We start from the raw sequence: 15,672 nt of genomic DNA on the forward strand, positions 1-15,672 counted from the left end.
CCCAGTCAACTAAGGGCCTCGAGGTCGTCCGCGGCAGAGCCTGAGCAGAGGCCCAGAGCGCGGCTCCTGCGCCTGCGCAGTGGGCGAAGCCGGCGTTTCCCCTGCGCCGCTGGGTGTACGCACTGGAGTCGGGAATTTGCACGTGACCACGGACTTTTTTTCATATCCGCCGACCATGCTGTAACGAGGCGTACGCGTTACTGGCGTGCACGTACTCAGAAGACTAGCTGACAGCCTTGTTTGTGGCAGACAGAGATGCAGGGTCCCAGACTGCGAATGCTTCATCTTGTCTAACACAGGCAGCCTGTGACTTGTTTGAATTAAACTGTACTTTCTTTTCAGGTTGCCACAATCCATTGTGCGTAGTGGTTCCATTTCAAAAGAATGTTACAGGATAGCCTCATTTTATGATAACTGGAATAAAATTAAATGGAGTAATTTCTTGAAAAATATACACAATTGAAGAAAAAATAGAAAACGTGAATTGTTTTATAGCCACACGAAAACATACACATGATCAGGCCAGGCGCGGTGGCTCACGCCTGTAATCTCAACACTTTGGGAGGCCGAGGCAGGCGGATCACTTAAGGCCAGGAGTTTGAGACCAGCCTGGCCAACATAGTGAAACCCTGTCTCTACTAAAAATACAAAAATTAGCTGGCCATGGTGGCCGGGGCCTGTAATCCCAGCTACTCTGGAGGCTGAGGCGGGAGAATCGCTTGAACCAGGAGGCAGAGGTTGCAGTGAGCCAAGATCGAGCCACTGCACTCCAGCCTGAGTGACAGATCAGGAGTCCGTCTCAAAAAAACAAAATATATATATATATGATCTAACTTAAGATATTGACAAGGAAAATCGTGGGCAGAAAGCAGGCATTAAACAGACACTGTAAGTTGAGGGGTATCGAAGTCAAGCATCAGTGTCAAGAGACATTGGAACCAGAGCTACCTTACCTTGAATAGGGGCTGGGTAAAATGAGGCTGAGACCTATTGGGGCACATTCCCAGGAAGTTTGGCATTCTTGGTCACAGGATATTTACAGGGAAGGGAACAAGTTAATAATGTTTACCTAACAGACCCAGGAAATGTCCTGATGTCCTGATATCTTAAGAACAAAAGCATTCTTAGTTTAATTTTCCCTTTAAAGATAATATTGATCCTTGCAGAAGACAGTAGTTACACAGGATTAACAGTCCTTTGACAAAGACCAGGCAGTGTCTCACACCTGTAATCCCAGCACTTTGGGAGGCCCAGATGGGCGGATAGCTTGAGCCCAAGAGTTCAACACCAGCCTGGGCAACATGGTGAGACCCTGTCTCCACAAAAAAATTAAAAACTTAGCCAGGCGTGGTGGCACACACCTGTGGTCCCAACTACATGGGGAATGATGCGGAAGTATCCCTTAATCCCAGGAGGTTGAGGCTGCAGTTGAGTTATGATTGTACCACTGCAGTCCAAACTGGGTGACAGGGTAAGACCTCGTCTCAAAACAAACACACAAAAAATCCTTTGTCACAAGCTCTTGGAGTAGAGCTCATCTTCCTCATTTTTTTGCTGTTCAATACAAACAAGCCTTGTACCTAAGGTGGACATGTTCCTTCTCTTGCTTTAGGGTATGCACCATTCTACAAAGTAACCTTTCACTTTTTTTTTTTTTTTTTTTTTTTTTTGAGACAGTCTTGCTGTCACCCAGGCTGGAGTGCAGTGGCATGATCTTGGCTCACTATAACCTCCACCTCCTGGGTTCAAGCGATTCTCCTGCCTCAGCCTCCCCAGTAGCTCGGATTACAGGCATGTGCCACCACACCCAGCAAATTTTTGTATTTTTAGTAGAGATGGGGTTTCACCATGTTGGCCAGGCTAGTCTCAAACTCCTGACATCTGGTGATCCACCCACCTCGGCCTCCCGAAGTGCTGGGATTACAGGCATGAGCCACCGTGAGTGATCTTCTTTATTTTCTTAATAAACTTGTTTTCACTTTACTCTGTGGACTGGCCCCAAATTCTTTCTTAGGCAAGATCCAAGAACCCTTTGTTGGGGTCTGGATCTGGATCCTTTTCCAGTAACACGAGGTTGCATAATAAAGAATTTGGCTGGCCTTTGTCCCCAGTTCCTGGGAGTTCTAGCCCCTTGGAATTGATGAGTGATTCACTCCTGTAATCCTAGCACTTTGGGAGGCCAAGGTGGGAGGATCACTTGAGTCCAGCAGTTTGAGAGCAGCCTGGGCAACAAAGTGAGATACTGAAGCGACATCGTTTGGGGTAATACCCAAGGTTCATTGCTTCATGCCAAGGAAATCAAGAACTTGAGCACACACGGAGTAAGGTTAAGAGCAGAGGTTTAATAGGCAAAAGAGAAAGGAGGCTTGGGTGCAGTGACTCACGCCTGTAATCCCAGCACTTTGAGAGGCCAAGGCAGGTGGATCACCTGAGGTCAGGAGTTCGAGACCAGCCTGGCCAACATGGTGAAACCCCGTCTCTACTAAAAATACAAAAAATTAGCCAGGCGTGGTGGCAGGCGCCTGTAATCCCAGCTACTTGGGAGGCTGAGGCAGGAGAAGCGCTTGAACCCAGAAGGCAGAGGTTGCAGTGAGCCAAGATCACGCCACTGCACTCCAGCCTGGGAGACAACAGCCAAACTCCATCTCAAAAAACAAAACAAAAACAAAAAAACCTTCAAAGGTAGTATCACAATGTGAATAAACTGAGAATGTGGAAGTCTCCACATTTCACATACACCATCCATAAAGAAGTATAAAACTCAACACATGAATAGCAGACGATGCTATCAGCAGATAATAGCACTTTTATTAGCAGTACTCAGCAGGAAAAGAAAAAGCAGTTCCTGGTTGTTATTTCTGTTTTCTCTGTTTCTTAGGGCGTCCACTTTTCTTCTGTCCTTTCTTCTTCGTTTTAAGGAGAACAGCTTTTTCTCCAATAAATAAGCTTTTAGGATGTCCTTCTGCAGTTTTGGAAGTAAAATTAAGTCCCTGCTTAGGTTTACTGACATTCTTCAATCGTGGATTTGAATTTTGTTGTTTAAATTTTTCTTTATTAACAGAACGCATGACTCTGAGTTTTCTCCCCATGAGTTCAGAATTATTTAATTTCAGAGCAAGATGAACAGAATCTGTATTCTGCAAAAGAAAACACAATACATTAATTGCTACCAGAAACCCATCTGCAAAGAAACTAGTGAAAGTGTCACTTTAACAGATGAGAACGACTTTCAAGCTTGCACAGATAAGCCCCATCCAATCCCAGGTGTATCAGCTGCTGCACTCGAAGTCTCCTCATCACCATGCTCGTCACCAGTGTTTCCTCAGAAAGCACTCAAGCTGCCTTGTGAAATGTTCAGCTAAGTCACAATGCTACAGGCTTCGTGGTTTTTTTTTTTCATTGTAAAATGAGGTTCTAGACTAGATTAGTCATATGCAATATTGGCTTTTTTTCTTTTTTCTTTTTTTGAGACGGAATCTCGCTCTGTTGCCAGGCTGGAGTGCAGTGGCACGATCTCGGCTCACTGTGACCTCTACCTCCTGAGTTCAAGCGATTCTCTTGCCTCAACCTCTCAAGTAGCTGGGATTACAGGCGCGGGCCAACATACCCAGCTAATTTTTGTATTTTTAGTAGAGACAGGGTTTCACCACGTTAGCCAGAATGGTCTCGATCTCTTGACCTTGTAATCTGCCCACCTTGCCCTCCCAAAGTGCTGGGATTACAGGCATGAGCCACCGCGCCTGGCCCCCATATGCAATATTTTAAACGAATAAACCTCCTTCGTATAGCCATCTTTCTGTCAAAGCCCCATTGTATTAGCTGACCAGAGGGCAGGGAACGCTCCATTACGAGATGTTGGACTAGACACCCTCTAGGGTTCCATTTAGATCCAAAATTCTGTTATACTTCTGTTCCAATATAGAGCCATTAATGCTAACAACCCTGAATATCCATGAGATGTTTGTTAAAGGACTTTAGAAGCTTATCAAGTAATAGAAGAAAGGGAGCAGACAAGCAGAAAGGTAACTACAATACAGTAACAATGGCAACAAACGCTGTGACAATCTTTCTAAAAAAGCTACCAGGCAATTCTCATCAAGAGTCTTCAAAATGGTAACACATCTTAACCTAGTATATCCTAATGGGGATCTATCTTAAGTAATCTACAATCCAAACTTTTGGGGAAAAAAACATAACCAGGCCAGGCGGGGTAGCTCACACCTATAATCCTAGCACTCTGGGAGGCCAAGGCGGATAGATCACTTGAGCTCAGAAGTTGGAGACCAGCCTGAGAAACATGGTGAATCCTGTCTCTACAAAAAAATACAAGAATTAGCCAGACATGTGGCACACACCTGTAGTCCTAGCTACTCAGGAAGCTGAGATGGGAGGATCGCTAGAGCCTGGGAGGCAGAGGCTGCAGTGAGCTGAGATCGTGCCAAAGCACTCCAGCCTGAGCAACAGAGTGAGACTCTGTCTCAAAAACAAAAAACACATAACCACTGCAATTTCATTATTACAGGGAAAAACAGAGAATTCTACCAAGGTCCAACATGAGAGAAATGACAGTATAAACTCTGTTATATCACTCAATGGAACATGCTTACATAACAGAAAACAACATAAAATAAGATGTAAATATAATTTAAGTTCACAGAGACAAGTTCAACTATAAAAATGGCAGCACAAGGAAAAACTGAAAGGAAATGTAGTAATGGGTTGTTACTGAGAGAAGAAAAATTTATGACATCACATAGTATGTACAGTCAGCTCCCCAAATCCGTGAGTTCAGTATCAGAGGATTCAATCAACTGCAGATAGAAAATACTTGAAAACAACAAATAATATGACAATAAAAAAATTTATTATATATAACAATATACATTCATGCAAATGTGCCATTTTATATAAGGGACTTCAGCATCTGCAGATATATATATACTGTTTGCTATGTGAGAGGGATCCTGGAACCAATACACCGTGGATATCAAGGGATGACAATAGATTATTTTTTTGTTTTGAGATAGGGTCTCACTCTGTCAGTTCGGCTGGAGTGCAGTGGTGCAATCATGGCTCACTACAGCCTTGACCTCCCGTACTTAAGCAATCCTCCAGCCTCAGCCTCCTGATAGGACCACAGGCGCTGGCCACCATGACCAGCTAGATTTTTATTTTTTAATTTTTCTTTCTTATTTTAAAACAGGGTCTCACTCTGCCATCCAGGTTGGGTGGCTCACTGCAGCCTCGACCTCCCAAGGTTCAGGTGATCCTCCTACCTCAGCTCCTCAAGTAAATGGTACTACAGGCATGCACCACCACGCCCAGCTGATTTTTGTATTTTTTTGTAGAGGCGGGATTTCGCCATGTTGCCCAGGCTAGTCTTGAACTCCTGGGCTCAAGTGATCCACCTGCCTTGGCCTCCTAAAGTGGTGGGATTACAGGCGTGAGCCACCGCACCCAGCCTTACTTGTATATTTTTTTGTAGAGTCGGTGTCTACCTATGTTGCCCAAGCTGGACTTGAAGTCCTCACGTTAATCAATCCTCTCGCCTCAGCCCTCCAAAGTGCTGGGATTACAGTCACGCGTCAACATGCCCGGCCTGTATATTCTTTTACTCCTTAATATTGTCAGGCATGAAACACTGGTTAAAAATTAGCGAACTAAATATAACTAATTTTGTACAAAGAATAAAACTTTCTTATACCTTAATGTCAATTATTTACTCTATCATACAGAAGGTAGAGAAGATTCAGTGATTTAGTACTTCTAATATCCAGGATCAAAAACATTTAATTAGTATGAAGAAAGAACTGGGACATCTTTTGGATAGGTGCAGTTGTAGCAATATATTATGGCAGGTTATAAATTCAGTTCTCGTTTTCGGGTTTTTTTTTTTTTTTTGAGACAGAGTTTTGCTCTTGTTGCCCAGGCTGGAGTGCAATGGAGCAATCTCGGCTCACCGCAACCTCTGCCTCCCGGGTTCAAGCGATTGTCCTGCCTCAGCCTCCCAAGTAGCTGGGATTACAGGCATGTGCCACCATGCCCAGCTAATTTTGTATTTTTAGTAGAGATGGGGTTTCTCCATGTTGGTCAGGCTGGTCTCGAATTCCCGACTTCAGGTGATCCACCCGCCTCGGCCTCCCAAAGTGCTGGGATTACAGGCATAAGCCACCACATCTGGCCGGTTTGTTTTTTTTTTTTTGAAACGGAGTCTTGCTCTGTCACCCAGGCTGGAGTGCAGTGGTGTGATCTCGGCTCAATGAAACCTCTGCCTCCCAGGTTCAAGTGATTCTCCTTCCTCGGCCTCCCAAGTAGCTGGGATTACAGGTATGAGCCACCACATCTGGCTAATTTTTAAATTTTTTGTATTTTTTTTTTTCCCCCTTGAGATGGAGTCTTGCTCTGTGGCCCAGGCTGGAGTGCAGTGGCACGATCTCGGCTCACTGCAACCTCCACCTCCCGGGTTCAAGCGATTCTCCTGCCTCAGCCTCCTGAGTAGCTGGGATTATAGGCACCTGCCACCACACCTGGATAATTTTTGGACTTTTAGTAGAGACGAGGTTTTACCATGTGGGCCAGGCTGGTCTCAAACTCCTGAGCTCAAGAGATTCACCCGTCTCGGCCTCCCAAAGTGCTGGGATTACAGGCATGAGTCACTGCACCTAGCCCAGTTTTCTTAAGATGGAATTTGAGAATGGAAGTGAAAGTTATGTCTCAATGATGACATGCAACAGTGTCAATGCCTCCCAGGGCACTTCGAAGGACAGTGACAATGCATTAGTCTCCCATACCTCAAAGAGCACATAGCCAAACCCTTTGCCGATGCCTGTCATTTTGTCTCTCACAATCCTCACGGCCATGATACTTCCACAGTCCAGAAAGTGCTTCTCAATGGCAGATTCTTCAACTTCTGAAAACAAATTCAATCAAAATGGAAGTAAAGAGTTGGGAGCCCCTCAGAAACATGGAGTTGTTTAATAATACAGCTAGTTAAGCATGGTCCCATGAAAATAAGCCATTATATTGCACACTTTTTAGTACATGTGCTGCCACGGCAAACACATTGCATGCTTTAAAATTAGTCTTAAATCAAAACATTAAGTTACTACTCAGTTCTTATTTCCTTGTTATTTATTTAGTAATATTAACTGTACTTTGTTTAAACAAACTTACTATAAGGGAGATTCCCCACAAAAACCGATCTCTTGTCTCTCTGAAACAAAAAGACAGTTAATAAAAATCACTCACTAGACCAGAAAATGGAAGTCATCGAAAATCCTCCCTATCCCTCCTTCCCCCCATATCTGACAGGTCACCCATCTTCTAATTTAACCACACATCATGTTCTTTGATTCTGTTTCTTCTGTCTTCCCTGCTGGACTGTGTGTGGGTACCAGAGGAGGGGAGTGACCTTTTGTTCACAGCTGGCACTGACACACGGTAGGGATCAGGAACGGACTGCTATATTGGGAGCATGCCAACTTTTTCTGTAAAGGGCCAGATAGCAAATATTATAGGCTTGGCAGGCCATGTGGAATCTGCTGCAACTACTCAACTCTGCCATTATACCTTGAGAACAGCCCTTGGATAATACACAAATGAATGGATGTCGCTGTGTGTCAAAAGAAAACTTCATTAACAAAAAAAAAGCAGCACGTAGATTTGGCTCTCTGCCATAGTTTGTTGACCCTGTACTGGGTCCCCAAGTCAAGCCAGGGCTTTCATCCAGGTCGTTGTCATTTCTCCACTAAGTTCCTTTGATATCGACAGAAATGCACTCTATGTTTCTGTGGGTGAACTGTTATAACTGTCCTTCATTCATTTCTAGGCACCTTTGTCAAGTCCAAATCTGGTCATGTCACTCTTAGTTTAAATTTTTAGAATAGCTCCTGAACAAAATCCAGACTCCTCTGTGTGAAGCACGGTAGACAAGGTCTTCATGATTTGGCCTCTGCCTATTTGTCCAACAGCAACTCTTACATACCTCACCCACCTAATAATTGTACCAAGCTCTTGCCATCTCCTGAGTGAATTAGTTTCTGTCCTCACCATTTATACTGTTTTTCCTCCCAGACATGGCCCTCAGCCTTTACAACACTTTTGGTCTACATAAGCCTTCTCTTCTTTCTTTTTTCCCCCCGCTTCTCCACAGGGTAAGGTCTATCTCCTCATCTTTCAAGACTATTATGAAATTTATTCCCCTGGAAACTTGCCTTGTCCCTTCTTCCTGGCATATCCCCAAGTCAAGTGTCCCAATGCTGAGCTGACAAATCATCCTGTGCATTGATGATAGTACTTATACAACAGTGACATGACCTGTCACTCCAACCCTAACATATACTGTCAGCTCCTAGGAAGTTGAGACTATGTCTTAGAACTGCATCTCTGACAGAGTGTGTACTAAAAACTGTCTAATGAATAATTGAACTTTCTAGACCTCGGTCTATAATGTGTTAGACCAGATGATGTCTAATGTACCTTCTGACCTAATTATGCTTATTTGAAGAGGACTATGTTTTTGTTTCTTTTTAAGAAACAGGGTCGCCCTCTGTTGCCCAGGCTAGAATGCAGTGGCACGACTACAGCTCACTGCAGCCTCAAACTCCTGGGCTCAGGTGGTGCTCCCACCTCAGCCTTCTGAGTAGCTGGGACTGTCGGCATGCATCACACACTTGACTAATTTTTTTTTTTTTTTTTGTAAAGGCAGGGTCTTGCTACATTGCTCAGGCTGCTCTTAACTCCTGGGCTCAAGTGATCCTCCCGCCTTGGCCTCCCAAAATGTTAGGATTACAGGCATGAGCCATTGTGCCCAGCCAGGACTACGTTTTTGAAGGGAATGTTGACCTCGGTCCTTGTGCCTCTCTTGCCATCAACTCTGTAACCACAGAGGACATAGGCTGTTTCCTTCTGCGCTTCCCTCACATTGCTGATTCCAGTCCCCTTCCAGGAAAAGCCTGGAAGGAAACATTTCTCTCTACAAAGCTCTCGTTCTTTAAACAAATCAAGTACTACTTACAGATGAGGTCTCAGATGCGAGATCAACTCTAATACGAAATCCATCTGCAATCTGGGCCCCATTTCTGTATTATAAATACAAAGGGAAAATGGTTGTTAAAAATGAGCACTCGATTACTAAAACATCTATGCTAAAGTGAAACCAAAGAATAAAAAAAGTACTCATACATACTTATAGGACAATTATTCTGTTCAAACCTAAGGGATAAAATTACCTTTTCAATGCTTGCGTGGCAGCACTCTCCTCCTTAAACACAACATAGGCATTAATATTTTTCTGATCAGGATGAATTTTACGTCTACACCAAAAAAAAAAAAAGAAAGAAAGAAAAGAGAGACAAGGTAAATTTCTTAGCCTCAAAGTCACTAGAAAAAAATCTAGCTGTTTTCAACTCTTAACACACATGACAAGAATTCCTGGGTGGACATTTCATCTCTTTGAATAAATATTTAGTAATAACTCAAAAAATAACACACAACTTATAAAGATATTAGTGGAGACACAACCCATACTTTCTTAGGAATCATAACCATGAGAAAACAGATGAACCATGTATATGAATCCCTGAGAACCATACAAGAACTAAAAACTGACATCTTAGCTGCAGTCCGTATCTAACACACATATAAACAGTTGTGAAAGACGTGAGTTTTCCTCTTTACTGTGAAACACCCATATAGAAGAGTGCACAAACTACGTATAGCTGAGTGAATTAACAACAGCTCAACGTGCCTTGTAGCCCACTCAGAAGCCTCTCTGTGGCCCTTTCCCGTTGCAGCCCCTCCTTCCCTCCAAAGGCAACCACCATTCCCATTTTTATAGGAACTACTTCCCTGCACATCTTTGTGGTTTTATCAACCAAGTGTCTATTCTTAGACATCATACTTTGGTCTTGTCTATACTTTTGACCTGATATGTCTTTTGAATCTTGTTTAATTTACAGAGTTTTCTCTGTATCTCTTTATCTCTCACTATTTGGCCTGCAGAATTCCCCACAGCCTGGATTTTGTGACTGCAAGCTCATCAAGTAGTTTAACACAAACCTTTGTCCTCTATATTTCTTGTAAACTGGCAGCTGCATCAAAAGGATGGATCAGACTCAGACATGACCCCTTTGTCGCGACTGCTGGTGGGTGTTGTGTTCTTTCCAGGGAGTCATGTTATGACTGGTTTTTACCCTTTTGTCAATGACTGCAGCTGCTGCTACTAAATGCCTAAACTCATTAAGTCACTAGGTTTGCAAAATGGTGATATAATTTGGATGTGAGGAGTTAGCAAAAAGGACCTAGTAATGAACACAGATCTTTCCCTGAAGACATCAACCTACTGTTTTGAAGTAAGAAAAATGCTACTACACAAATGAGTATCATCAAGAAGGGAACTGGAAAATAGTGCCTGACATGACTGATGGCATTCTGTAATAATACACTATACTAATGCTTTTGTATTGATTAAACCAGCTGTGATTTACTGAATGCCTAATATATACCAGACACTCAGCTAGACATTTTATGTATTTCATTTAATCTCACATCTCCAACACGGTGTTTTTTTTCTGATTTTATGAATAAGGAAGCTGAGACTGGAAGAGGTACGTGACTGCGATGAAATGGCAACAAGTGGCTGGCCTAGGACTGAAACCAAGTCTAGCTGACTCTAGAGCCCTGCTCTTCACACAACACACAGCTGCCGACAACATCCAAATCCAACACATCCTAGTGCACCCCCAGGAACAAATGCTGGAGTTCCGCTTCCACCTAGAATGTAAAAAGCCAGAAAGTGCATCACTCCTGCTCTTACCAGTTAAGAAGAAACCAGATAACCCACAGCATCATAACTTTTGTTGCAGCCATCACAGAGCTGAAGTCTTGGGGAAAGCCAGCAGCTAGAAGCTAAGGACAGGCCTGCTTCCTCCAATGAGAGACAGAGGAAGCACTGGCTCTTCTGGCTCTACGATGGCCGAGCACAGGGGCAAAATGCTGGGCACCAGACAAGCAGGAAAGATTCCAGCCATGATCTCACTAAAACACTAGAGCTCAGCGTGGGCTGGGCCTGAAACAGAAGTCCTGGAAGCTGCCGAGGCAGGAGTGTGCGCCCATCCTCAGGATCTGCCCCACTGACCTCCACTCCCTGGGAAAGGCTGAGATCGCAGCTATGGGTGCTGCAGGCCTGGAGGACGGAATGGCCAAAGTGTGGGAAAGGCACAAAGCCCCACCTGGATTCTTCTTGAGAGGTGACAGCGTGCTGGCAGTCCTCAGAGCCCTCGCTTGCTCTCCGCACCTCCTCTGCCTGGGCTCCCACTTTGACGGCACTTGAGGAGCCCTTCAGCCCACCGCTGCGCTGTGGGAGCCCGTTTCTGGGCTGGCCAAGGCCGGAGCCGGCTCCCTCAGCTTGCAGGGAGGTGTGGAGGGAGAGGCGCGAGTGGGAACCAGGGCTGCGCGGCGCTTGCGGGCCAGCTGGAGTTCCAGGTGGGCGTGGGCTTGGCGGGCCCCGCACTCGGAGCAGCCGGCCGGCCCTGCAGGCCCTGCCGGCCCCGGGCAGTGAGGGGCTTAGCACCCGGGCCAGTGGCTGCGGAGGATGTACTGGGTCCCCCAGCAGTGCCAACCCACTGGCGCTACGCTCGATTTCTCACCGGGCCTTAGCTGCCTTCCCGCAGGGCAGGGTTCGGGACCTGCAGCCCGCTATGCCTGAGCCTCCCACCCCCTCCATGGGCTCCTGTGCGGCCCGAGCCTCCCCGAGGAGCGCCACCCCCTGCTCCACGACGCCCAGTCCCATCGACCACCAAAGGGCTGGGGAGTGCAGGCGCACGGCATGGGATTGGCAGGCAGCTCCACCTGCAGCCCCGGTGCAGGATCCACTGGGTGAAGCCAGCTGGGCTCCCGAGTCTGGTGGGGATGTGGACAACCTTTATGTCTAGCTCAGGGATTGTAAATACACCAATCAGCACCCTGTGTCTAGCTCAGGGTCTGTGAATGCACCAATCGACACTCTATATCTAGCTACTCTGGTGGGACCTTGGAGAACTTTTATGTCTAGCTCAGGGATTGTAAATACACCAATCAGCACTCTGTATCTAGCTCAAGGTTTGTAAACACACCAATCGGCACCCTGTGTTTAGCTCAAGGTTTGTGAGTGCACCAATCGACACTCAGTATCTAGCTGCTCTGGTGGGGCCTTGGACAACCTTTATGTCTAGCTCAGGGATTGTAAATACACCAATCGGCACTCTGTATCTAGCTCAAGGTTTGTAAACACACCAATCGGCACCCTGTGTTTAGCTCAAGGTTTGTGAGTGCACCAATCGACACTCTGTATCTAGCTGCTCTGGTGGGGCCTTGGACAACCTTTATGTCTAGCTCAGGGGTTGTAAATACACCAATCGGCACTCTGTATCTAGCTCAAGGTTTATAAACACACCAATCAGCACCCTGTGTTTAGCTCAGGGTTTGTGAGTGCACCAATCGATACTCTGTATCTAGCTGCTCTGGTGGGGCCTTGGAGAACCTTTGTGTCGATACTCTGTATCTAACTAATCTGATGGGGACATGGAGAACCTTTGTATCTAGCTCAGGGATTGTAAATGCACCAATCAGCACCCTGTCAAAACAGACCACTCGGCTCTACCAATCAGCAGGATGTGGGTGGGGCCAGATAAGAGAATAAAAGCAGGCTGCCCTAGCCAGCAGTGGCAAGCCACTCGGGTCCCCTTCCACACTGTGGAAGCTTTGTCCTTTCACTCTTTGCAATAAATCTTGCTACTGCTCACTCTTTGGGTCCACGCTGCTTTTATGAGCTGTAACACTCACCGCAAAGATCTGCAGCTTCACTCCTGAAGCCAGCGAGACCACGAGGCCACCGGGAGGAACGAACAACTCCAGACGCGCTGCCTTAAGAGCTGTAACACTCACTGCGAAGGTCTGCAGCTTTACTCCTGAGCCAGTGAGACCACGAACCCACCAGAAGGAAGAAACTCCGAACAAATCCGAACATCAGAAGGAACAGACTCCCGACGCACCACCTTAAGAGCTGTAACACTCACCGCGAGGGTCCGCGGCTTCATTCTTGAAGTCAGTGAGACCAAGAACCCACCAATTCCGGACACATTCTCTTGATGGAGGAGAAGGCTAAGCTGCTAGGGGAGGGATAGCAAACCCTGTCACTCCAGGGCACAGAGAAGACCCCTACAGCCGGAGGAAGGGAGGAGTCCAGCTACCGGGGGAGAGGTGGGAAACATCCTCTGCATAATCCCCACTAAAGGTACAAGGCATTTGGCACAGCTTGGCTGCCCCGGGAAAAAAGCCCTGATCAGGTGCACTCCTGAGACACGGAAACACTAAGACAAGACAGCAGAGACCCTGCTGCGCCCACTCCCACCAGACTACCAAGCCAACTGACAAGCAATAGCACTTTTTTTATTTTGAGACGGAGTTTCTCTCTTGCAGTCCAGGCTGGAGTGCAATGGCATGATCTCGGCTCACTGCAACCTCTAACTCCCATGTTCAAGTGATTCTCCTGCTTCAGCCTCCAGAATAGCTGGGATTACAGGCGCACGCCACCACTCCTGGCTAATTTTTGTATTTTTAGTAGAGACGGGGTTTCACCACGTTGGCCAGGCTGGTCTTAAAATCCTGACCTCAGGTGATCCGCCCACCTTGACCTCCCAAAGTAATGGATTATAGGCGTGAGCCACTGTGCCTGGCCAACAACAGCACTCTCTAAATGAGATCTTCAATAAAACTTAAAACTTTCAATCTTTAAGAGACACCTCTGGGCGTGTGTGGTGGCTCATGCTTGTAACCCTAGCACTTTGGGAGGCAGAGGTGGGTGGATCATCTGAGGTCAGGAGTTCGAAACCAGCCTGGCCAACATGGTGAAACCCCGTCTCTACTAAAAATACAAAAATGACCCGAGTGTGGTGGCGCACGCTTGTAATCCCAGCTACCTGAGAGGCTGAGGCAGGAGAATCAGTTGAACCCGGGAGGCGGAGGTTGCAGTGAGCTGGGATCGCACCACTGCACTCCAGCCTGGTGACAGAGCAAGGATCCATCTCAAAAAAAAAAAAAAAAAAAAAGACACCTCTAAAAAAGCCAGCCACAAACTGGAGCAAAATATCTGAAACACACATAGCAGGAAAAGGTGTTATATCTAGAATATATAAATAACTCCTTACAACCATATAAAAATAATTTAAAAGTCACTAAAAAATGGGCAAAATTTTTGTACCAACATTTCACCAAAGAATAGATACAAATAGTAAGCACATAAGATGCCTAACATTTTTAGTCACTGTGGTTGACAAACCTTCAGAATGTCTAAAATTAAATGACAATGCCAAGTGCTGGTGAGGATGTGAAGCAACTGACATTCTCATCGATAGCTGGTAGGAATGTAAAATGGTACAAACACTTTGGAAAACAATTTTGCAGCTTCTTAGAAAGTTACAATATACCGTAAGATCTGGCAATCCGACCAGGCAGTTTCTCAAAAGAAATGATCCGTACCCAAATTTTTTTTAGCAGTTTTATGTATAATAGCCAAAGGCTGAAATAACCTGAATGTTCATAAACTGGTGAATGGGGCCGGGTGCGATGGCTCACGCCTATAATCCCAGCACTTTGGCAGTCTGAGGCGGGCGGATCACCTGAGGTCAGGAGTTTTAGACCAGCCTGGCCAACATGGCAAAGCCCCATCTCTACTAAAAGTATGAAAAAATTAGCTGGGCATGGTGGTATGTGTCTGTAATCCCAGCTGCTTGGGAGGCTGAGGCATGAAAATCACTTGAACCCGGGAGGTAGAGGTTGCAATTAGCCGAGATGGTACCACTGCACTCCAGCCTGAGCGACAGAGCAAGACTCCATCACAATACAATACAGTACAATACAGTACAATACATCACAATAAATACAACACAACACAATAAACAGGTGAATGGATAAACAAATACTGTCATACAAGGGAATACTACTGAGCAATAAAAACGAATTAATTACCAATGCATTGCAATAATAAGAACAAATCTCAGACAGGCACGGTGGCTCAAGCCTGTAATTGCAACACTTTGGGAGGCAAAGGCAGGAGGGCTACTTGAGCTCAGGAGTTCAGGACCAGTCTGGGCATTAGTGACACCTTGGCTCTACTAAAAACTTAAAAATCAGCCGGGTGTGGTGGCGAGCACCTGTAGTCCCAGGTATTTAGGAGGCTGAGGCAGAAGGACTGCTTGAGCCCAGGTGATAAGGCTGCCGTGAGCCATTATCGTGCCACTGAACTCCAGCCTGGGCAACAGCAGAAGACACTGTTCCCCTCCACCAACCCTCCCCCACAAAAAAACAAACCTCAAAATCATTATGCTGAGCAAATTAGACAAGAGTATATCCTGTATGATGACTCTACTTATATAAAATTCTGGAAAAAGCAAACTAACACATAGAGACAGAAAGCAAATGAATGGCTGCCTGAGGACAGAGGTGGAGGGACATATTGCAGAGGGTTAGAAGAAACTCGAGATGATAAAGTGTTTGGTATCTGGACTATGGCAGTGGTTTCAAGATTGCCTACATATGTTAAAATTATAAAATTGTACATGTCAAATATGTGCAGTTTACTGGAAGTAGCCTTAATAAACTAAAAAAAAAAAAAAAAGGTTTTAAACATTTTGG

At 45.5% G+C, this 15,672-nt stretch overlaps 1 protein-coding gene across 9 annotated transcripts in view, besides 1 other annotated feature; it reads right to left on the reverse strand.

The window, feature by feature from the left end:
- Window positions 155-254: an enhancer, noted in NCBI's record as "active region_2794". NCBI's record gives its function as "activates an Ori minimal core promoter by ATAC-STARR-seq in GM12878 lymphoblastoid cells {active_cell/tissue: GM12878}" and the evidence as "EXISTENCE:reporter gene assay evidence [ECO:0000049][PMID:35858748]".
- Window positions 2,323-15,672, reverse strand: part of RBM34 (RNA binding motif protein 34) — a 30,068-nt gene continuing 16,718 nt past the window's right edge. For 6 of the 9 annotated variants that reach the window (NR_027762.3, NR_144492.2, NR_144490.2 and 3 more), the window contains 5 exons: window positions 9,231-9,314; window positions 9,017-9,080; window positions 7,174-7,213; window positions 6,792-6,910; window positions 2,323-3,137 (listed from right to left, as the gene is read on the reverse strand). Coding sequence is in view for 5 of the 9 variants with exons in the window: in XM_011544133.3 (XP_011542435.1) it covers window positions 2,853-3,137; window positions 6,792-6,910; window positions 7,174-7,213; window positions 9,017-9,080; window positions 9,231-9,314 (592 nt within the window). In the remaining 4 variants the exon portion in view is untranslated. The remainder of the gene's footprint in view (window positions 3,138-6,791; window positions 6,911-7,173; window positions 7,214-9,016; window positions 9,081-9,230; window positions 9,315-15,672) is intronic. The other 3 variants (NR_144491.2, XM_047449700.1, NM_001346738.2) reach the window with 1 other exon arrangement.

The sequence above is a fragment of the Homo sapiens genome, chromosome 1 (genome assembly GCF_000001405.40).
Source record: "Homo sapiens chromosome 1, GRCh38.p14 Primary Assembly".
NCBI lineage: Eukaryota > Metazoa > Chordata > Mammalia > Primates > Hominidae > Homo > Homo sapiens.